We start from the raw sequence: 21,464 nt of genomic DNA on the forward strand, positions 1-21,464 counted from the left end.
GCCTCCCGAGTAGCTGGGATTACAGGCGCCTGCCACCACGCCTGGCTATTTTTTGTATTTTTTAGTAGAGATGGGGTTTCAACATGTTGGTCAGGCTGGTCTTGAACTCCTGACCTCAGGTGATCCACCCGCCTCAGCCTCCCAAAGTGCTGGGATTACAGGCGTGAGCCACCATGCCCAGCCTACTCTCCTTAACTTTTAAATAAGCCCATGATATATATGCTCTCCCCACTTTTTAGAGCGAAACAGACTCAGAATAACTTTTCGAGGTCACTTGAATGTTGCCTGAGATTCGTTCAATCGGTGTGTGTTTTGTATTTTGTTTGGCAGCAATGAGCAAAGTGGTCTCAGTTCCCACCCCCGGGGAATGAACAATCTAGTCAAGGAAGAAATTTTAAAACCACAAAAGTGAATAAATTACAGGTCGCAGAGAACACTGTACAGATGGGGCACATGGAGGACATAAGCCAAGTTCAGATGATGGGTCTGATGACGGCCTCTGTGAGGTTGTCAGGGGAAAGCAGCCCAGGCCGGGCGCCTGGAGAAGTGCAGGAATTGGAACCCTCTGCGCCGCTGGTGGGAAGGCGAGTGGTCCCTCCGCGGTGGGAAACAGTGCCGTGTTTCCTCAGAAACGCTAAATGGAGAAGCATCGCATGATCCAGCAATTGCACTTCTGGGTATTTGCCCAGAAAAACTGAAAGTAGGGAGTCGAAGAGATATTGGTTGGTAGAGTTTGGATGTTTGTCCCCACCCAAATCTCATGTTGAGATGTGATCCCCAGGGCTGGAGGTGGGGCCTGGTGGGAGGTGTTTGGGTCATGGGGACAGATCCCTCATGGCTTGGTGCTGGCCTAGAGATAGCAGGTAAGTTCTCATGAGCTCTGGTTGTTTAAAAAGTGTGCGACACCTCCACAGCCCCCACCGTTGCCCCTGCTTTCGCCATGTGACGTGCCTGCTCCCGTTTCGACTTCCACCATAGTCAAAGCTCCCCGAGGCCTCTCCAGAAGCTGAGCAGATGCTGGCACCATGCTTCGTGTACAGCCTGCAGAACTGTGAGCCCATTAAACTTCTTTTCTTTATAAATCACTCAGTCTTGGGTATTCCTTTATAGCAATGCAAGGACAGCCCAACACATTGGCACACCCATGTTGATAGCAGCATTGCTCACAAGAGTCAACAGGTGGAAACAAGCCAAGTTTCCATTGGTGGAAGAAAGGATTTTTAAAATGGGGATATACACATACAGGAATACTATTACTGTTCAACCTTAAAAAGGAAGGAAATTGTGACTTCTGCTACAACATGGATGAACTTGAAGGCATTATGCTGAGTGAAGTGAGCCAGTCACAAAAGATCGAATACTGTCTGATCCCCCTGGCGTGATGTCCTGAGAGCAGTCACGTTCCTACAGGTAGAAAATAGAGTGGCGGCCACCAGGGGCTGGGGGATGGGTGGGCTAAGAGGGTTCGTGTTTGACGGGTACAGAGTTTCACTTTGGGAGGATGAAAAAGTTCTGGAGAAGGATTGGTGACAGTTGCACGACAATATGAATTTACTTAATGCCACTGAAGTGTCCACGTAAATGATATAAATGGTGAATTTTATGTTATGTGTATTTTAGCACAATGATATAAAACAAAATACTTTTCTCCCTCCTGTTCAGGTGAAGGCAGTGCCTCAGAGTAAAGGAGCGATCTCCCAGCCCTGGGCCTGCACAGCTCACAGGCGGCCTTCTGTGCTGGTGACAGCCTCCCTCGTGGGTCCCCTCTCCTCACTGTTCCCAGGCCCGGTTCCAGTCACAGCCTTGCCCCTGCAGGGCCCTCCGGCTCTGGAGAAAACAGTCTGAAAATCCCTGGGCCTTGGATTTCCTCTGCATGTAAGTCCCATGGGTTGAGGGTTTGCCTGGGCAGGCTTTGAAGTGTCTGGATTTTTCTCAGCCCGGAAGAGAAACGCTGATGACTCATGGGACAGGGGCAGGACATTTGCTTGTGGAAATCTAAGCCCTCTCATCAGTTTGGATCATCCCAGCTCACCATGGCCACAGCAGCCCCCGGGTCTGCACTGTCCCTCGGGTGGGAGCTCGTCCTTAAGGAAACATCTGTGTCCGTGTAGGCAGCATGTGTGAGCATCAGCTCCAAACCACCAGGATAACAGGTCCTATTACGAAGCCTTCCCTTCTCTGTGGGGCTGTCTCTTCCACATCGCCCCCCTTTAGGAAGGGGTGGGTAGGCTTCTGCAATGAAAGGGCTGGCACCAGGTCTCTGTCTCTGACCCTGGCGTGAGCTTCCAGTGCTTTCTCTTGTGCCAGTGCTGAGCTGGAGCCCACTGAATTAAAGATCTGAGTTAGGGGAGCTGTGTGACCATGATTGCCCCCGCATGTGCTGCTGGGATCGGGGAGCACCTGACCCTGCTCACCTTTTCCCGTAAGAGAAGCGGGGCCAGCCCCTCAGCCCTCTCTAGTTGTTCGAATCTAAATGTACCATTTAAGTCATGGGTGATCCCTAGAAACCCATTTTCACTGGGTGCTTCTCAAGACTATTTGGGAAAAGAACAGGACAGTGACTCAAAACCAGAGACTGTATTCCCAAGCTCCCCATGCCTCCTGTCAAACAGAAATGAAACCAAACTAGCCACAGCCAACTGGGGGGCTCTTCCCTGCCTCAGTTTCCTTGCCTGTTGAAGGCACACACAAACATGTATGTGGTGTGGAACAAAATGAAATAGGAAGCTGTGGTGAAAATTAAAAGAGCTATGCAGATGTAAAATGCAGCCACTGTGAGTATTCGAGGTAAGGAATTATACCTACAAAAGACGCTCACGGCCGGGCGCAGTGGATCACACCTGTAATCCCAGCACTTTGGGAGGCCGAGGCAGGTGGATCACCAGAGGTCAAGAGTTCAAGACCAGCCTGACCAATATAGTGAAACCCCGTCTCTACTAAAACTACAAAAATTAGCTGGGCGTGGTGGTACGTGCCTGTAATACCAGCTACTCGGGAGGCTAAGACAGGAGAATCACTTGAACCCAGGAGGTGGAGGTTGCAGTGAGCAGAGATCATGCCACTATACTCCAGCCTGGGTGACAGAGTGAAACTCTGTCTAAAAAAAAAAAAAAAAAAGGACTTTCACATGGATAGATGGATAGAGTGAAAAGTGTGGTAAGTGAAATACTAACTATTATAACTAACAACCGTGGGCAGGCAGAGGGGGCTGGTGCTCTTCCCTGCTGTGTCTGGGCTGCAAGGAGGCCGGTGATGACTCAGGCTGGAGGGGCCCTCGACCCTCGGTTATCAAGAGCACCCAGCGGGGTCCTGTAAACAGTGGCAATGCCACAGCCCTGGCCACACGCTGCTTGGCAGCCCATGTAGGTTTGCTGTTGGTTCATTAAAGCAACATTAAGATGCCCTTTATCCCTCTCTGTTAACACAGATAATCGAATGAAAATGTAATTGCCACAGCTAACTCAATTAAAAGCATTTCTGAAAGTTGCCCCTTGCTCCTGGTGTATTGAAGACTAGATTTGGAGCCACTTGCCCCCATGGTGGACTGTGCCATTTACTCCCCCAAAGGACCCCAGGAAACCAACGTAATCAGCCCCATTTTACAAGTGAAGAAACTGATGTTCTGGGAGGGTGAGTGGCCTCCCTGAGGCTGCACGGCTGCACAGGGGCAGCTGCAGGATTTGAACTCAGGCTGACCCCACCTGCCAGCCCCACAGCACCTCCTGGGGTGTTGGGCATCTGGGGCCAACTGCCTGGGTCCCAGCAGCCAGCGCCTGGCTCTTGGGCTGTTTGATCTTGGTCAGTGTATCTAATCTCTGTATCTTAATTCCTGCATCTGATCAACTCAATTAAGTTCTTCCTCGCATACTGCATATTTTGAGAACATGCCTGGGTTCTTCCTTCCTTTCCTTCTCTCCCCTTATTGAAAACGAACTGCTGTCTTGTGACTAGTGTGGCCTTGGCAGTTTTCACCTGGGGCATTTCCACCGAGGCAGCTTCCTCCACTTCCTCCCACGCGAAAGACAGCACATTAGCAGCTAATTCATGGGACAAAAGGAAGAGGCAGTGCAGATCAGTGAGCCTGGGAGCAGATGATGAATGCCAGGGGGTGTCTTCGCTGCAACAAGCACTCAGCCCTGCAGCGTGACTCAGAGAGTGGCCTCGGGCAATCCACCAGCCTGAAACCACAGGACAGGACTGGCAATCTCAGCACAGAGCACTGATCCTGTCATCATTTAAAGACTCAGAAGCGGTCACAAGGGGGAGTGGATCAGAGCCATTCTGGACTTCTCACGGCCAGCTCAGACGCTCGCATATGTGACATGCACAGGGTGCCCACGACTTCCTGGACCTTTGGATGGAGCCCCCGGCCACCTGGAGGGAGCATTGAAACGGATGATGCTAAACTCGCACTCTAAACTCGCACTTGGCGTTGCCTTCTCAGGTCCCAGCACCTGTGCAGAGGCCTCTCAGGGTGTGACAGTCCCCTGCTGAATGGCACCTTCCCCTCCAGCACCTGCAGGGCTTCCCTGCCCACTGCACCTGCCTTGCCCCAGCATGCCTGCCTGACCCTGGAGAAGGATGGAGATGCAGGGTTTTGTGGGGAGTGCCAGGAAGAGGCCTCCTCGGGGGAGGGAAGCTGATAGCAGCCCCGCCCTCACCTGCCCCAGCAGCTGAGCTCATCCCCTGGGGGGCACTCATGCTCCCTAGAAGTGACAGGTGGGCCCACTATCCACAGGCCGGCAGAACGCAGCTCCTTTGGGGTGGGGGAATTCCTGCCCTGGCCTTGGCCACAGAGCCCCAGGATGAGTTTTGTGACAGAGCCATCCCCACACACCCACTGAATGAGAACGGAGGCCCAGCCTGGAGGCGGGGGCTGGAGGGAGTGCAGAGGGCATGAGGAGGCACTCCAGCCATTCCTCCTTCTAAGTGGGACCTCCCTGGGAGGACAGATGACTGCTGCATTAGGAGGGTGTTTCAGGCCCACCTGCCACTTCCAAGGAGCGTAAGTTGGCAATGTTGGAAATCAGCCTACAGCTGCTCCTCGAGGTGACCCCATCAAGGGACCAGGACTACGGGACTAGCAACGCAGGTATTGAAGAAGTGTCACTCTCCAGGGACCTCGCTGCTGGAGCCAGGCCAGTGCTGGAATCCCCGCCAGCAGGGGGCAGCGTGCAGGCTTTCCGGGGCCTGCTCTAGCCTGCCAAGAGAATGTGAGATTCATGGGTACGCATGCGGGCGGCTGCACCCTTCCAGGCCACAGATTGGACCTAACAGCTCCTGTCTGCTTGGCAGTGCCCAAGAGATTTTCCTGGCGCTGGAAACATTGGATTTGGGGTGTGCGTGACCCACCTGGGTCAGAGTGCTTGGCTTTCTGCTCATCTGCTGACTCAATAGGGGGTCTGTGTCCATCTACCCATCTCCCCTTTTCCTTGCACTATCTCAGAATCTCTATCTATTTCATAAAACACCAATTATTTGTCTATTATCCTCATTTAAAATTATATATATTAGTTAGAACGTAATCCTCCTTCTCTCTCTGATCTCATTAGCTGACAAAAGCATTAGCAAATTGTCACATGTCTAAATGACCGTGAAATAGGTATTGGTTTTAATTGTTGGTACTTAAGTGGCTGTTATAACAAAGTGTTTTGCTTCATAAGCCAGGTGAGCCCCTCACTCTCTGAGGAGGAACGCTGGAGACTCGGCTGCTCAGAGCCGGATTTGCAATCTGCTGGCCACCCCTATATAAGACTCCAGTATTTTGATATTGGCCTCTAGAGTCGTTTTGTTTGTTTGTTTGTTTTTTATCTTTAGAGGATATAAAATTTGCCAGTTTAAATGTACCGGTCAGTGGCATTAACTACATTACATTGTCATGTAACCATCACCACCATCCATCTCCAGAACTTTTTCATCCTCCCAAGTTGTACCCAATAAAGAACAACTCCCTTCCCCCAGGCCCTGGCGACCATCACTCTACTTTCTTTCTGTATGACCTGACTACTCTAAGTACTTCATATAAGTGCAGTTGTCAACTCTTTGTCCTTTCATGGCTGGCTTATTTCACTTAGCATGTTACCTTCAAGGTTCCTCTATGTTGTGGCATGTGTCAGAATTCCCTTCCTTTTCAAGGCTGCATAATATTCCCCTGTGTGTATATATTACATTTTGTGTATTCATTCATCCATTTGTAGATGCTTGGGTTGTTTCCATCTTTTGGCAATTGTGAATTGAATTACTGGCCTCAGGTGCCTTTGTTTTGTTTTTTATTCCAATTTTTTTTTTTTTTGAGATGGAGTCTTGCTCTGTCACCTGGAGTTCAGTGGCGTGATCTCTGCTCACTGCAACCTCTGCCTCCCAGGCTCAAGTGATTCTCGTGCCTCAGCCTCCTGAGTAGCTGGGACTACAGGCATGTGCCACCACGCCCGGCTAATTTTTGTATTTTTAGTAGAGACGGGGTTTCGCCACATTGGCCAGGCTGGTCCTAAACTCCTGACCTCAGGTGACCTGCCCACCTTGACCTCCCTAAGTGCTGGGATTACAGGCGTGAGCCACTGCACCTGGCCTTTTCTCATCAGCTTCTAATTTTTACTCTTCAGTGACTGACATTAGACTCCTTTGTGGCCCCTTCGTAAATTCTATTAAACTACCTGAGCAACATGCGAGATGAAATTCCAAGAGCCAGTGAGTGAACTCTTTTCCTATGCAGGAAATAGCTCTTAACCACTGAGGGGGTCACCCACCCATTTGAGAATCTGAGAAAGTTTTAAATCCTCTCCCATCTGCAAACCATACAGTCACTCACACAAATGTGACCTTTTCAGTTTCCATGGACACCACTGAGACCCATTTTTAGACCACAGGTTTATCTCTGCTCTAGATAATTCATTTCTTCCCAGAACGTGGTAAATCAAAAGTTTTCTAATCAGAGCGTGGTTGAAATGCTTGAATAAAACACAAAATCACTTCCAGTTTGGCAATGATACAAAGCGGAATGTCTGTATTTGGAACTTCCCCAGTGCAGAACACGACAGTAAAAAAAAAAAAAAAAAACACTCAGTGCATCCATGCAGTGTCTCCAAAAAGCATGGGAGGCCAGGAGTTGAGTGTGGGACTCTCCTTCTGGCTGCAGAGGGGATTGGTGACTCTAGACATGCAGGGGAGAGCATGCTGGGGAAAGAGGCAGAAATGCCCCCTCCAAATGGGAGTCCCTCCCAGTACCTGCCTTCTGCGCCCTGACCATTCTGATTGCTGGCAGCTCTAGCCCCAGCCCACCAACCCCACCTAAGCACACACCCCCTCCCACCGTCCCAGCACAGCGAATCAGTCAGGGAGCCAGGAGGCCCTAGCTTCCAATTAGACCGCACATGACTGTGTGTCACTGCCCAGGAAGGGGCTTCTATGGGTGGCAGCCGACCTCTGCCTCAGGGCAGCTCCAGTTGCACGGGCCATGGAGGCCGCTGCCATCCAGCTTCAGCTGCAAGAGCCCAGGATCAGCCAGACTTGTCTACTGAGGATGGGGAGTGTTTAGATAAGTTTGCCATATCCGAGCAGGAAATACAGATATAACACAGAGCTGGAGGCTGAGCCTCAGCTGAGATGCCACGTGCGGCAGTGTGCTGGAGGATGTGTGTGCTGATATCCAGGCATCTTTACAGAAGATGATGCGTCTGGGAGACATGGGTCTTCAAGTGTGTGCACCTGGAGGTGGACACAGGTCCCTGTGTGTGTGGAAGGGTGAAGTGGGAAGAGGGAAATAGACCAGGAGCACAATGTCTGGGGCCTGGTTCCCTGCAGAGGGCAGAGCTCCAGAACCAAACCTAAACCCTCCTGTCCTGGGGCCTGTGCAGCACGGGACGCCTGGGACAGCCATTCCACCTGAGTGTCCCACAGAGTGAGGGACAAGGACAATCTCCCTTCCCCCTTGGTCAGGGACTCCCAAGGGGCTGCAGCCACATTGCTCCTTTTGAGGTTTTGCCGCAGCACTTGGGCAGAGATGAAGCCATCGCTCAGGGCAGCCCTGATGGGGGCTCTCCCCCTTCCCAGGAACCCTGGAACCTCATGGCCAACTGACACCTAACCCTTGCGGCACTTTAAAATCACCCGGGGAGCTTTGGAAACAGTCCCCCATTCCAGACCCATCATTATAAGAATCTCCGGAAATGGAGGCTGGGCCCCGGGCATTTTTTAAGTCCCCAGGTGATTTGAATGTGCAGGCTAGACCCACTGATGGCCTCTTCTTTCCCCTTGGGAAGCCCTCACCCATCTTTGGTAAATACATGATTGATTATGTGTAAGGCGGGTAACTGCCAATACTGAGTCCACTGAAAGATGCACATTTTAGGATTCTGATAGGGATGTTCCTTACAATCACTGTCAGGCAGGTGACAGGTATAAAAAGCTGCCATCATCATTAATGAAGCGTGTGTTTACCCCATCAAAGTGTTTCATGTGGTTGTCACTTTAATGGGCATTATTGGACGACACATGGAGAGTTTAATTGCTATTTTAAAATATCCTCAAAAATGTTACAGTGTGATTTGGCCTTGAAATGAAAAAATATTGTGTGTTTGATGAGCATGTACACAGAGCATCAGGGTGTACCTTTGATGTCATTGAAGCAAATATTTCTCACTTCCATTTCATGGGGGTTTTTGCAAAGTCATAACCAAGGGCTTTATAGAACCTGACAAAGAAAGACACCACAAAGAGTGATCCATGAGAAGGAACTGTCCATCATACACCTAGAAATGCAACCCAAAGGCCAAGAGATCACCAAATCTCGGAAACAGCTTTCTAAGAGACACACGGCTCTACTGCACTCTACGGCCCAGTCACCAGGGGAAACACAGGCCCATGCTCTGAGCCCAAAACAAGAGCCATACAGTTGCACAAGAATGCGGAATAGAGAAAAAATTTTAGAAAGACCCCCACCAATGTATTTCACTCATTTATTCAATTTTATGTAAGTACGAGGGTGACATGATACAATCCATGTCTATGAATTTCAAAAAGAGATCTTTCAGTAAATATAAAGAAAAACTTGAAGTGATATAAAGCATTGTTTCAGCTTTATTGGAAATGCTTTTCTTAGTGATTCACAAAATGAGTGCATCTTAGAATCAATGGTTTGTTAGTTTCTGTGAAATATGGTCATTTGCTACTGGGTCTAATTCCTAGCACTCAAGTTTAACCTGCCCATTGCACGGGCCATCCGAGCTCCCATACTCTGGCTCTATTCTCTTCTGAGAATGCCAATAGGCACCCCCTTCCCAGGCTTTTCCATTTCACAGAGAGACTCTGTGGCACTGGCCTCTGCCCTCACACTTTCTCACCCAGCCCCATCCTGACAGGTCTTTCAGCACTTCTCCCCTGAGTCAACCCTCAGTCTTTCTTCTGCCATTTCTCATTTTCACAGTGCCTCTTTCCCTGTAATTCCAGCCTATTTCCACCACACACTGGCAAACAGCGGCCCTAATTTCAATCTGTCACACTTGCTCATCTCTAAAATGGGAGGCAGTAAGACAGAGACCGAAGGCATGCGTTGGGGAGTCACAGATATGGATTCCCTCCAAGCTTTCTCACTCCTAAGCTGGGTAACCTTGGACATGTTACTTCGCTTCGCCTGAGAAGGGAAGAAAAGAATCACCATGTCTGGGGTTGCTGCAGGATTAAATGAGAAAGTGCATGCATTGCAGACCCTCTTAATTATAGCTGCCTCGGTGGCATCCTTCCCAAGTGCAGCTACTATGGAGTTTGGGTGGCATTGACCAGGTCAGGGCTTGATTGGCTTAATCCCAACCATGTGATCTAGGGCATGTGACCTAGGTTGGTCTAGTCAGAGTAAAGCTCAGCTCTTACTCGGATGGTTTGGGGAAGAGAAATTCCTTTTTGCCCTGATGGTATAGTACAGTCATCCCTTGGTATCTGCTGGGGGTTGGTTCCAGGACCCCTGAGGATACCAAAATCAAAGATGCTCAAGTTCCTGATATAAAATGGGGTAGTATTTGCAAGTAACCTACAACAGTCCTCCTGTATTTTTAAAATCATCTGTCAATTACAGCCGGGCGCGGTGGCTCACGCCTATAATCCCAGCACTTTGGGAGGCCGAGGCAGGCAGATCATGAGGTCAGGAGATTGAGACCATCCTGGCGAACACTGTGAAACCCCGTCTTTACTAAAAATACAAAACAATTAGCCGGGTGTGGTGATGGGCGCCTGTAGTCCCAGCTACTCTGGAGGCTGAGGCAGGAGAATGGCATGAACCCGGGAGGTGGAGCTTGCAGTGAGCGGAGATGGCGCCACTGCACTCCAGCCTGGGCAACAGAGCGACACTCTGTCTCAAAAAAAAAAATTATCTCTTGATTACTTAGAATGCCTAATACAATGTAAATGCCATGTAAATAGTTGCTATACTGTATTGAGTTTTCATTTGTATTATTTTTCATTGTTGGATTGTTATTTTTCATTGTTGTTTATTTTTTTCTGGTCCTCAGTTGGTTGAATCCAAGGATGCTGAACCTGTGGATCCAGAGGGTCGACTGTGTCTATGAAGGCGGTAAGTAACCCCAGGAGCTCTTGGCTACCAGGAAGCCAGCCTGAAAAAGAGGCTGGCCTTTGAGGAGGACAGGAGGACAGAGGAGGAAAATGGAGCCAGGGCCCCTGTCAAACCACATCTGATCCCTACAGTGACTCAGGTATGTGAGCCATAAAAATTATTTTATTTAAACACATTTCAAGTGTCTTTTCTATCATTTGCAGCCAAAAGCATTCTAAAGGATCCAATATGAAAAGCATTTAACAAGAACTTAACAGACAGTAGTTATGCTATCAACTCAAGTGTTTAAAATTTATAACGGAGATGAGGGAAATGAGTGACATGTCTGTCACTCCAAATGAACCTGTTCTGTAGCAGCATGTAAACCCCTGTGCCCTGTTCTAGAATTTTGCCAATAAATGATCACCCCAGAACCCCTAACCTCCACTCTACCAACCAGAATACATCCCATTTCCACATTAAAAGTAAGTAACTCAGGGCAAACCCTTTTAGTGACAGAAAGTATTGACTCCGATCCCCATCTCTCCACTCTCCCCTAGATTAATTAAGTGGAAGGAATAGGAAGCCTGCTGCTCCTCCACAGTGCCCTATGGCACCAGGGTGCCTCACAGAAGCCACACCGGCCCTACACGCCTCGCTGTGTGCGCAGAAGCCTGGGCCTGATGCTCCTGAGTGTTACTGAACTAGGCTGGGGTCCATGCACCTGCCGCAGTAGAACCAGATAGCCACACTGAGCTTTTGTAGCGGTAGAAAGGAAGGTGTTTGCTTGCAGGGCACCATGCAAGGAGGCCCAGCAGCCTCTGCTCAGCCCTGGCCTCCCCGATGGCTTGCGGGCAAGGGCTCTCCCAGGCAGGGATGTGCCGCAGGAAAGCGGATGCTTCGGGCACAGTTGTAAATCAACAGGTGGAGGGGACACACTGGTCTTTGCTATTGGTTCAGGGGGCAAAGTTCGTTTCAATTTTAGGATCTGCCAAAACAATGTTAACTGGCTGGGGAGGGAGGCAGTGGGAGCTCCCCAGGAAGAAACTTAGAAGAAAGAACGGCCGTCAGGGTTCAGTCCTCAGCTCCCCCTCATCTGAGGTCTGCCTGCCAATGGATCTGTTTGGTGAGGGCCCTCGGCGGCGGGGTGGGGGTCCAGGTTTCTGGATTTGAACTTCCTTGGCTATTGTTTTAGGCTACTAAGACTTTCTTGCTTTCAAGTTGCTCATTTTCTTCTCAGGGCTAGCTAGGTGCCTGGAATTTATCTTGAAGGCAACTTAGGATTTTCTTTTATTTCCATGCTTGGCTGGGGGGCCACGAGCCCCCAAAAATGCGGTCCTTACTCTGGCTCAAGAGAAGGCAGGTGTCCAGCCAAATCAATCCTCCCAGGGAAGTGCGGTCTCCAGGAAGCAGAGGCTCCGGATGCCCTTCTGAGCCTTCCTTGTCTGGCCTTGGCTCCACACATGGAAGGAAGGCCAGAGCAGCCCCAAGCTTCCTTCTTCACCCTCCGCGGGCGGCCAAGTGCCTCCTGCAAAGAGGTTGAGGCGCACTGCGGACCACAGAGCCCCTGTGCCTCCAGCAGGTCACCGGGCGCGTGGCTGTCCCTTCAGAGCACAAGGGTGGCGTTCCTGAAGTTTTCACAGTGGTGGAAAGGGCTCTTCCCGCCCTGGCCCTGCCACCTTGGAGGGGCTAGAAGGTGGCCCCCAGCTCCGTGGTGAGCTTGCCTGCTGCGATAGACTCATCACAGCAGCACACTCGGTGTGCACCCAGTTGTGACAACATAGGTGGTATGACTTGAAATCCAGTTCCTCAGAGCGGGGGGAGCAAACTGGGGTTGGGGGGCTCTGAGTGGGGAAGGCGCTTTGGCTGGCAGAGCCGAGCAGAGCTAACTGTGAAGGACGGGTTGCCAATATAAATTCTTCCATCAACAAGCAGAAAACGTGCTTATGACTTTATCATTGTACCCAGGGCTCTGCTACAATTCATATCTTCCTCATGGTTAATGGCGTTTTAGCCCACTGATGCCACATAATACATTTCATCAATTCTAGGGGGAGGCTGCTGCCCAGAACATCAAAGCCAATTTGTAAATTATGGAGTGATGGATTTTGTCAGTAAATTCATATCAGAACAAGGCAATAACGTTCCCACACAAATTAATGTATCTTAGCAGATGTTTAACTTTGAATATCCTGTTTTGAATATATATTACCTGATAATGTATATACACAAAGCATTTTTTATTTCCACTCATTAAATCTCAATCAAACAAGTAATCGCCCTAAACTACAGAGGCACAGAAATCCGTTTTCCCTGCCCATCAAATAGTAGCAATTTATTGTGGTGTAAAATAAATGAACTGCTAATACAATTTTTTAAAAACAGCAATAATAAAGCTAAAGGGCCGTGCCCCTGAGGGAGGATTGCCATGGTACGCAGGGGCGCAGAGCCAGTGACCAGGTTTGAATTCTAGCTCTGCCGCTGACTGAGCGACCTCAGCCAGGTAGCTCCCTCCCTGAGCCTCTGTTTCCCCTCTGCTGAAGGAGATGAGCATCATCTACTTCATAGGGTTGTGGAGGGACTTAAATGGATTAATTTGTGTGAAGCGTTTAGAGCCCTGCCTGGCATTATGTACCTGCTCATATTATTATACCCTAAATGACATACGAGAAAGGTGGAAGCAGGACTATGCTTCTCCTTCAGGGGAGAGCCTGGGCGTCAGGAGCAATGCCAACCCCTGCATCCAGCTGGCTCCTCCCTAATGTGACTCCTGGAAAAAGAGAGCCTTGATTTCCCGAGGTGCAGGTGCAGATAAGCATTTTCGTCTCCTCCTGGTACAGCTGAGCCCAGACCCACCTTACAGGTTCTCTCTGAAGTGCCAATTTCTGGCTCACCTGTCCCCTGCCTCGGGAGGTCACCAGGGCAGGGGGCTTGATGGAAGCTCCCAGTGATATGGGAGCGGGGCAGGGAAGTGCTAGGTAGAGAAAGGCGGGGTCCCTGATGAAGGCTCCACCCTCTGGCCTGTGCCCATGGACCTAGGTGTGGACAGGTACTTCTGTTTTCATGCCCAAATGTTGCATTTTCCAAGACCACCCTGACACACCATGCCCCCCAACTTGTGCCTGTAAAACCCCAAGACCCTAGCGGGCACACACATGAGCGGCTGGACGTTGAGAGGAACACACCGACAGAAGAACACACTGGCAGACTCCAGCAAGCCATTGACAGCAGAACCATGCGGATGGCGTGGAATTCGGCCGGGGAATGTCGGAGGAGAGTCTGGCTGCTGAATGGCCTGAATCCAGGGGAAAACCACCTTCCCACTCCATCTCCCTTCTGGCTCCCATCCATCTGCTGAGGGCTACTTCCACCACTCAATAAAACCTTGCACTCACTCTCCAAGCCCATGTGTCATCTGATTTTCTGGTACGCTAAGGCAAGAACCCCAGGATACAGAAAGCCCTCTCTCCTTGTGATAAGGCAGAGGGTCTAACTGAGCTGATTAACACAAGCCACCTGTGAACCGCTAAGCTGAAAAAGTGCACTGTAACACACGCCCACTGGGGCTTCGGGAGCTGTAAACACTCAACCCTAGACGCTGCCATAGGGTCAGAGCCCATGCTCCCCACGACCTGCCTGTCTGCATGCCCCCTCTAGGGGTTCGAGCTGCGGGACATGGAAGAAGTGAGCCACGCCTTCATCACATGCCCAAACTCCTCCTGTTTCACCAGGCAGGACAGAAGATGCAAACCCGGTGTGCAGATGTCCTCAGTCAGCAGGCGGCAAGCGGCACGACGCTGCACACCTGTCCTCCCTTTTCCAGGGCCCTTGCTCACAGCTGTCTGGGTTTCCCGTCTCTTTATTCTTCCCTTCCTCATCTCCTGTCTTTTCTCATTCCATCCACTCATCTGATACATCGTAGATGCTTTTCTGTCCTTGTTGCCATTTCTGACATTGATTTCTTTTCTTTTGCTCACTTGGTTACTTTTCTCTCACTTGATTACTTTTCTCTCACTTGATTTGTCTTTTTGACTTCTGATGACCTTCCCTGGGAAGCTCACTTCAAGAGCCTGGTCTCCCCCTCCAACCTCCCTTAGAGGTGGACCGTTTTAGACAAGAGGGGTGGGCGAGAGGCCCTTCCAGGCCCACCTTTGCCTGCCTGCCACGTGCCAGGCACCGTGTTGAGTGCTTGCCTGCAGAGCACCTGGAATCCCACACGCCACCCCACATAACAATAACAGTCACAGACACCTTTTGAGTGTGTGCTTGCTGTGTGCTACGTGTCTGATTCTTCGCTTGCCTTCACTATTGAGTCCTCACGAACCATATACCTAGGTACTATTGTTATTCTATCCTTATAGATGAGGAAACCGAGACACAGAAAGGCTAGGTAGCATGCCAGCATGTCATCGACAGCAGGTGACGGCAGAATTCAGACTCAGGCAGTGCACTCTCAGCCCCCTACACTAAATGGTAAGGTTATTCCTCTTGATTTTTCCTTGATTGGGAACTGAAGTTCAGGGAGAATGAGTGACTTACCTGAGGTCACAGAGCTTAGCTTACCCAAGGCCGAGCTAAGGGCAACATCTTTGCATTCAACTGATGTTCTCCTTACATGCGAGTCTGTGTCCAAATTTCCCCTTTTATGTGGACACTAGTCATACTGGATTAGGGGCCACCCAATGGCTTCATTTTAGCTTAGTAGAGACCCTATCTCCAAATAAGGTGACATTTTTGGGGAGACACAATTCAACCCTTACCACAAGGGCAGTGCCTGGATGCAGCAGCCTCAGGAGTGATGATGCAGCCACAGCCTCCCATTAACAGTCCCAGGTCTACATTGTTTCAGTACAAACAGGTTCCAAGGCCACCATGTGGTGAGTGATGACAGTGTTACTGCTTTTGTCTCATGGAGATATGAGCTTAGCCAGCAATGGCGCACTTGACAATAAAGAACATGGAGAGATGCTGCCTGGACACCTCGGAGAACTTTCTTGTGTGCTGATGACAATAAATACATAGGTAAGTAGGCCTTCTCTCATCATCCCAGATCTTCATTAGCCAACCACTAGACCTCACACGGACCCACGAATTTTTAAATACATTTTAATCATACTAGTCATACAGACACGACTCCCAGCAAAATATTTTCTCATGGCCCCTCACACCCAAAGGGTGACCCAGGGACCCACTCTGTGCCTGGGAAGCACCGCTGCTGGCCTGAGCCCCCTCTTCATTCTGGCTGCCACCTCCCTGTGTCTTCTTTCTTGATGAGGGTGTGGCTCTCATTAATCATCAATGAGATGGTGACACGGGGTTTCTCTCCACCTTAGCAGTGTGTCCTGATATCCCACTTTCTATTCCTCCCTCCGGAATTCCCTCCACCCTCTCCCAGCAGGGAATCTTAGCCTCTGCGGAATTTTCTGTTTCCCTCAACTTGGGGTGCTCAGACCCCCCAATCTACCACTCTTGCCCTCTGCTAATTCCAGAACCCTTTGACATATTAGCCAGGTGCTGGCTCAGCATCTTGCTTCCTGCAGCCCTGAGTACATTGCACAGAGAAATGGTGCACCTCCCAACCAGCTTCTCCAAGAGCTTTCCCTTCTGCCTGCAGATGGGGATGGACTAGCAGTGCTGGAGGGACCACTCAGCACCAGTGCCCTTGCACTTGCTTCCTCGTGGAATCCTCACGCTGGCCTGGGTTTGGCAGATGAGAAAAGACCGGCCTGGGTTTGGCAGATGAGAAAAGTTAGGCTCAGAGCAGGGAGTGAGCTGCTCAAGGTGGTGCAGCCGTTCACACAGGAGCTAGCACACTGAGCCTGGTGCAATGTCTCAACACGGCTGCTTAATAAAGCTTTAGAGAGGGCATAGATGAACCCAGGTTTTGTGGGACCTGAAGCTTACACAATGTGGAGGACCCACTTGAACTTATGGAGACATAAAAGACAGGGCTTTGGAAGGGGCCTGTGCAAGTGAGGGACCCTGAGGCTTCAACTTCATTAGCTTCGCAGTAAATCTGCCTCTGAGTCAATAAGTAAGTGAGTAGATGAATAAAGTCGAAGTACAAAGGTGTATAATTTTAGAGCTTATAGGACCTAAAAAATGATCAAGTCCTATGTCCTTTTTTAATAGTTGCAGAAACCAGGACTGGAGAGAGTAGCTTTCTCATGAACACACAGCTAAAAGTCTTACCAAGGTTGAGTGGCTGTCCTAGGATATCATGACTGCAGCCTGGTGGTGCTGAACCCAAGGCCATGTCTTTACTCTGCCACTAACTCCATCCCTACCTTAGGAACAGTTGCTGCTCATCTGCCATATATAACTCACCTCTCCACATCAGGGCTGCCCAATGTCAAGGGCCAGGCACAATGAGGTCTTTGTCAAAGGACTCCCTGGAATTACGGGGCACTTACACTGGGTAGCCATACACAGTGTGAACCTGTTAATGGTCTTGACCTCCTCTTTTGGTGCTGATTTCTGGAGGGAAGAGAAAGGAAAAGTGCTTCTTCCTCTCCCAGAACCTCACATTTCCTTTTTTTTTTTTTTAATTTATCAAGATTTTTTGAAGTTAATTTTTAGTTCAGTAGCTTCTGGGGTACAAGTGGATTTTGTTACATGGATGAGTTAGACAGTGGTGAATTCTGAGATTTTAGTGCACCTGTCCCCTGAGTAGTGCACATTGTGCCTAATGTATAGTTTTGAATCCCTAGCCCCCCTTCCAGCCTCCCCCTTGTGAGTCTCTGAAGTCCATTATATCACTCTGTATGCCTTTGCACACTCATAGCTTAGCTTGCACTTGCAAGTGAGAACCTACGGTTTTTGGTTTTTCATTCCTGTGATACTTCACTACAGGTGGAGAATAATGGCCTCCAGCTCCATCCAAGTTGTTGCAAAAGACATTATTTTCGAACCTCAAATTTCTTGACTCATGGGAATTCAATTAACTCAGTTATGCCAGTTATCAATTCATTTCCTGTCAGTTCCAAACTCAATTTTCATTGCCTGCTCTGCAAAAATGGAGTGGGGCCCTGTAAATACGTCCTTTGCAGCAGGCGGGCTGCTGCTCCTTCTCAGTAGAGGGCACTGAATAAGAAAGGCGTTTTTCTCTCTCTGGCCCTGGTGTGCATCTCACCAGGTGCCCACAGCAGGCAGTTTCTCCAGCACTGGCATCTGCCGTGTCCAGGGGCCAGCAGGAGCAGCTGCTCTCCCCAGCATGCCCCAGGGCAGCTTTGCAGCAAAAAATTCAGCTCCACCCTATGGACAGCTTCCCCCATTTCTCAGAGGGCAGATTTCCATCAGGTTCTGGGACAGCACCACAGTCACTTCTCTGCCCAGCAGTGAGTCACTACCATGCCCTCTCAACAGGTCTGGACCTCAGCCCTAAGGGGTAGAGAGCCTCTTCCCTGGATGTTTTATCTCAGCTCCCGGAGTAATAGCTACTTCTTACGCCTGTGATTCCTGCATTCTTTAGCGTTCTCCTGACTTTTTACTAGGCAATCTCCCATTATGCAATCATTTGAGTTAGTTAATACCTTTTATATTAAACTTTCAAATTACTGTGTGGTTTCTGTCTCCTAGTTGGACCCTAACTGATAGCCAGTCACTTAGTTCTGAAGTCATGGGCCCTTTGTGCCTGGCATTCCCAACTTAGCTTTGTCAGCTCCGGAGATCTACAGACCTAGCTAAATTGCTCTGAAAAGACCCTACCTGTGTGTGGTTCTTCCCCAGAATGGTGTGTGGCAGTGACTCTTTGGAGGCAATCAGGGATTAAAGCCTACATACCAGCCACCCAGCAAGCATCACATATGTGACGTGTGTTTATATGATCCAATTAGAAAAATGGACACACTGAAAACACATTTACAGATGGGCTCTATACCGCTAGAATCAAGGATTAAATTCAGCATTAAAACTGTCAAGAGTGCTTGTTCTTTCTGAAACATTTTTTTTTTTTTTTTTGAGATGGAGTCTTGCTCTGTCGCCCAGGCTGGAGTGCAGTGGCGTGATCTCGGCTCACTGCAAGCTCCACCTCCTGGGTTCACACCATTCTCCTGCCTCAGCCTCCCAAGTAGCTGGGACTACAGGTGCCCACCACCAGGCCTGGCTAATTTTTTTGTATTTTTAGTAGAGACAGGGTTTCACCCTGCTAGCCAGGATGGTCTTGATCTCCTGACCTCGTGATCTGCCCATCTTGGCCTCCCAAAGTGCTGGGATTACAGGCATGAGCCACCACGCCTGGCCTCTGAAATATATTTTTGACACCAACAGTTGGCCATTCGTAGCCGGAAAGAATGGGTCATAAATCTGATAGCTGGAAGAGACCTCAGAGATCCAGAGATCGATCCACAATCAGTCCCACCAAGTTTGTGGTCAGGAATCTGCCCTAGGCCACAAAGATATTTACCTATTTGCTCAAAAAGAAGGAACAAAGAAAGATCTTATAAATGCGTGAGACCACAAAGAGTGGAGGATGGGGCTATAATACAGGGCCTACCCTCTGGTCACACCAGAAACAGATCTGGTGACTGATGAGGATGTAAAGGGTGACATTTTGGCCAAACGTAGAAACCACAGAGTTTTAAAGGTCAAAAAAATCTTAGAATTTTTATTTTACCCCCTCCCCATTTTACAGATACATCAGTCTGTTTTCATGCTGCTGATAAAGACATACCCGAGACTGGGCAATTTACAAAAGAAAGAGGTTTAATGGGCTCACAGTTCCACGTGGCTGGGGAGGCCTCACAATCATGGCAGAAGATGAAAGTCATGTCTCACATGGCAGCAGACAAGAGAAGAGAACTTGTGCAGGGAAACTGTCCTTTATAAAACCATCAGATCCTGTGAGACTTATTCACTATCAGAAGAATAGCATGGGAAAGACCTGCCCCTGTGATTCAATTATCTCCAACCAGGTCTCTCCCACAACACGTGGGAAGTATGGGAGCTACAATTCAAGATGAGATTTGGGTGGGGACACAGCCAAACAATATCAACAGATGAGGGAACTGAGGCCTAGGACTACAAAGTTGCTTGAGTGAACTCCACCTTTGGTCCTGCAGAGCTCACACAAAGTGGGGGCCAAGGCATTGCTCAGAGCAGCTGAAGACACCTTAAGCAACATCCTTGACATTTGTTGACTTATGACCTTTGGACAGTCATAAAACATATGCACACTACTCCCCCACATCTTTGATGGCATATTCCCCTTGACCCAACTTTAAAATAAATAAAAATCAATATAGTTTTTTTTTTGAGATGGAGTCTTGCTCTGTCGCCCAGGCTGAAGTGCAGTGGCACGACCTCTGCTCTGCTCACTGCAAGCTCCACTTCCCAGGTTCATGCCATTCTCCTGCCTCAGCCTCCCAAATAGCTGGGACTACAGGTGCCCACCACCACGCCCGGCTACTTTTTTGTATTTTTGATAGAGACGGGGTTTCACCGTGTTAGCCAGGATGGTGTTGATCTCCTGACCTCGTGACCCACCCACCTCGGCCTCCCAAAGTGCTGGGATTACAAGCGTGAGCCACCACACCCAGCCAAAAATCAATATAATTTTTTAAAAATTAAAAATTACAGTTCAGCAGCCACCTCAACAGACAAAGAGCCCCAGATACAGATACAGGGAGGCCTTGTTGGCTCCATTTCTTTGAGCCTCCTCAGATCCTCTCCCTGAATGTTTTCCCTCAAGGCCCTGCACCCAGGGACACTCCAGAATTTTCCTAACTGACTAGTGGAGTGTTACTGAGATTATTGTCATGGGAAGAAGGGCTGATGAAGGTGAATTTAGAGTGATTTTGTAGACGGAAGAGCTGCAGCTTGGGGATCTCACACCAAGCTGGATCTTCCTGTGTCATTGTGGTGGCCATCATCATCATGGTGAGTATTTGAGGAGCACTTGGCCCAAGGCAGTGCTGTTGTAACTGCTCTGTAGAGAGGAGAGAGCCCCAGGGCTACTTACTGGATCTCCCCAACCCTAGCCCACGCTCTCCCAATTACCTGGCCTATGCATTTTTTTTCTATTGCTTCTGTAGTAAATTATCACAAATTTAATGGCTTAAATCAACCCCCATTTTTAATTCACAGTTCTTATGTAGTATGCTTTGGATGTTTGTCCCCTTCAAATCTCATGTTGAAATGTAACCTCCCGTGTTGGAGGTTGGCCCTGATGGGAGGTACTTTGACCACGGAGGCAGATCCCTCGTGAATGGCCTGGCACCATCCCCTTGGTGACGAGTGAGTTCTCGCTCTGAGTTCACAGGAAATATGCTCGTTTAAAAGCTGGTGGCACCTCCCTACCCTCTCTCTTGCTCTTGCTGTGGCTCCTGTTGCTTTCTGCCATGATTGTAAGCTTCCTGAAGAATCACCAGAAGCAGATGCCAGCACCATGCTTTCTGTATAGCCTGCAGAACTATGAACCAATTAAACCTCTTTTCCTTATAAATTACCCCGTCTCAAGTATTTCTTTAGAGTGACGCAAGATTGGGCTAACACGTTGCGGGTCAGAAGTCTGAGCACAGTGTGGCTCAACTGGTTTTCTGTTCAGATTCTCACAAGGCCAAAATCAAGGTGGTGGCAGGGCTGTGTCCTTTTCTGGAAGTCTCTATAATCCGTGTCCAGGGTTATAGGCTGTGGTGGGATTCAGTTCTGTGTGGGTGTAGGACTGTTTTCTTGTGGGTGCTCAACCAGGTCTGGTCCTTAGATTCTAGAGCCACTCATGCTGTCTGGCTTCTCACCCCTTTCAAAGCTGGCAGCAGCAAATCAAAAGCTGTGAGTCTTTTTGATCCCCTACCTTCCTCATCTCTCCTGCTTTTCTCTTTCACTGAATCTCTCTGATTCTAGCCACAGAAATTTCTCTGCTTTTAAGGGCCAAGTGGTCAGTTTGGGCTTGTCTGGAAAATCCAGAAATTGCATCTACAAAACCCCA

General features: G+C 49.3%; 5 annotated features.

Moving 5' to 3' along the window:
* Nucleotides 667-1,167: an enhancer, noted in NCBI's record as "H3K4me1 hESC enhancer chr18:8422085-8422585 (GRCh37/hg19 assembly coordinates)". NCBI's record gives its function as "activates a minimal SCP1, AML or CMV promoter by ChIP-STARR-seq in naive H9 embryonic stem cells {active_cell/tissue: H9 hESC(naive)}" and the evidence as "EXISTENCE:reporter gene assay evidence [ECO:0000049][PMID:30033119]".
* Nucleotides 1,913-2,536: an enhancer, noted in NCBI's record as "H3K4me1 hESC enhancer chr18:8423331-8423954 (GRCh37/hg19 assembly coordinates)". NCBI's record gives its function as "activates a minimal SCP1, AML or CMV promoter by ChIP-STARR-seq in primed H9 embryonic stem cells {active_cell/tissue: H9 hESC(primed)}" and the evidence as "EXISTENCE:reporter gene assay evidence [ECO:0000049][PMID:30033119]".
* Nucleotides 3,413-4,056: an enhancer, noted in NCBI's record as "NANOG-H3K4me1 hESC enhancer chr18:8424831-8425474 (GRCh37/hg19 assembly coordinates)". NCBI's record gives its function as "activates a minimal SCP1, AML or CMV promoter by ChIP-STARR-seq in naive H9 embryonic stem cells {active_cell/tissue: H9 hESC(naive)}" and the evidence as "EXISTENCE:reporter gene assay evidence [ECO:0000049][PMID:30033119]".
* Nucleotides 4,057-4,700: an enhancer, noted in NCBI's record as "NANOG-H3K4me1 hESC enhancer chr18:8425475-8426118 (GRCh37/hg19 assembly coordinates)". NCBI's record gives its function as "activates a minimal SCP1, AML or CMV promoter by ChIP-STARR-seq in naive H9 embryonic stem cells {active_cell/tissue: H9 hESC(naive)}" and the evidence as "EXISTENCE:reporter gene assay evidence [ECO:0000049][PMID:30033119]".
* Nucleotides 16,693-16,899: a silencer, noted in NCBI's record as "fragment chr18:8438111-8438317 (GRCh37/hg19 assembly coordinates)". NCBI's record gives its function as "represses an EF-1alpha promoter that drives an FKBP-Casp9 reporter gene in an ReSE screen in K562 erythroleukemia cells {active_cell/tissue: K562}" and the evidence as "EXISTENCE:reporter gene assay evidence [ECO:0000049][PMID:32094911]".

The sequence above is a fragment of the Homo sapiens genome, chromosome 18, assembly GCF_000001405.40.
Source record: "Homo sapiens chromosome 18, GRCh38.p14 Primary Assembly".
In the NCBI taxonomy this organism is placed as follows: domain Eukaryota; kingdom Metazoa; phylum Chordata; class Mammalia; order Primates; family Hominidae; genus Homo; species Homo sapiens.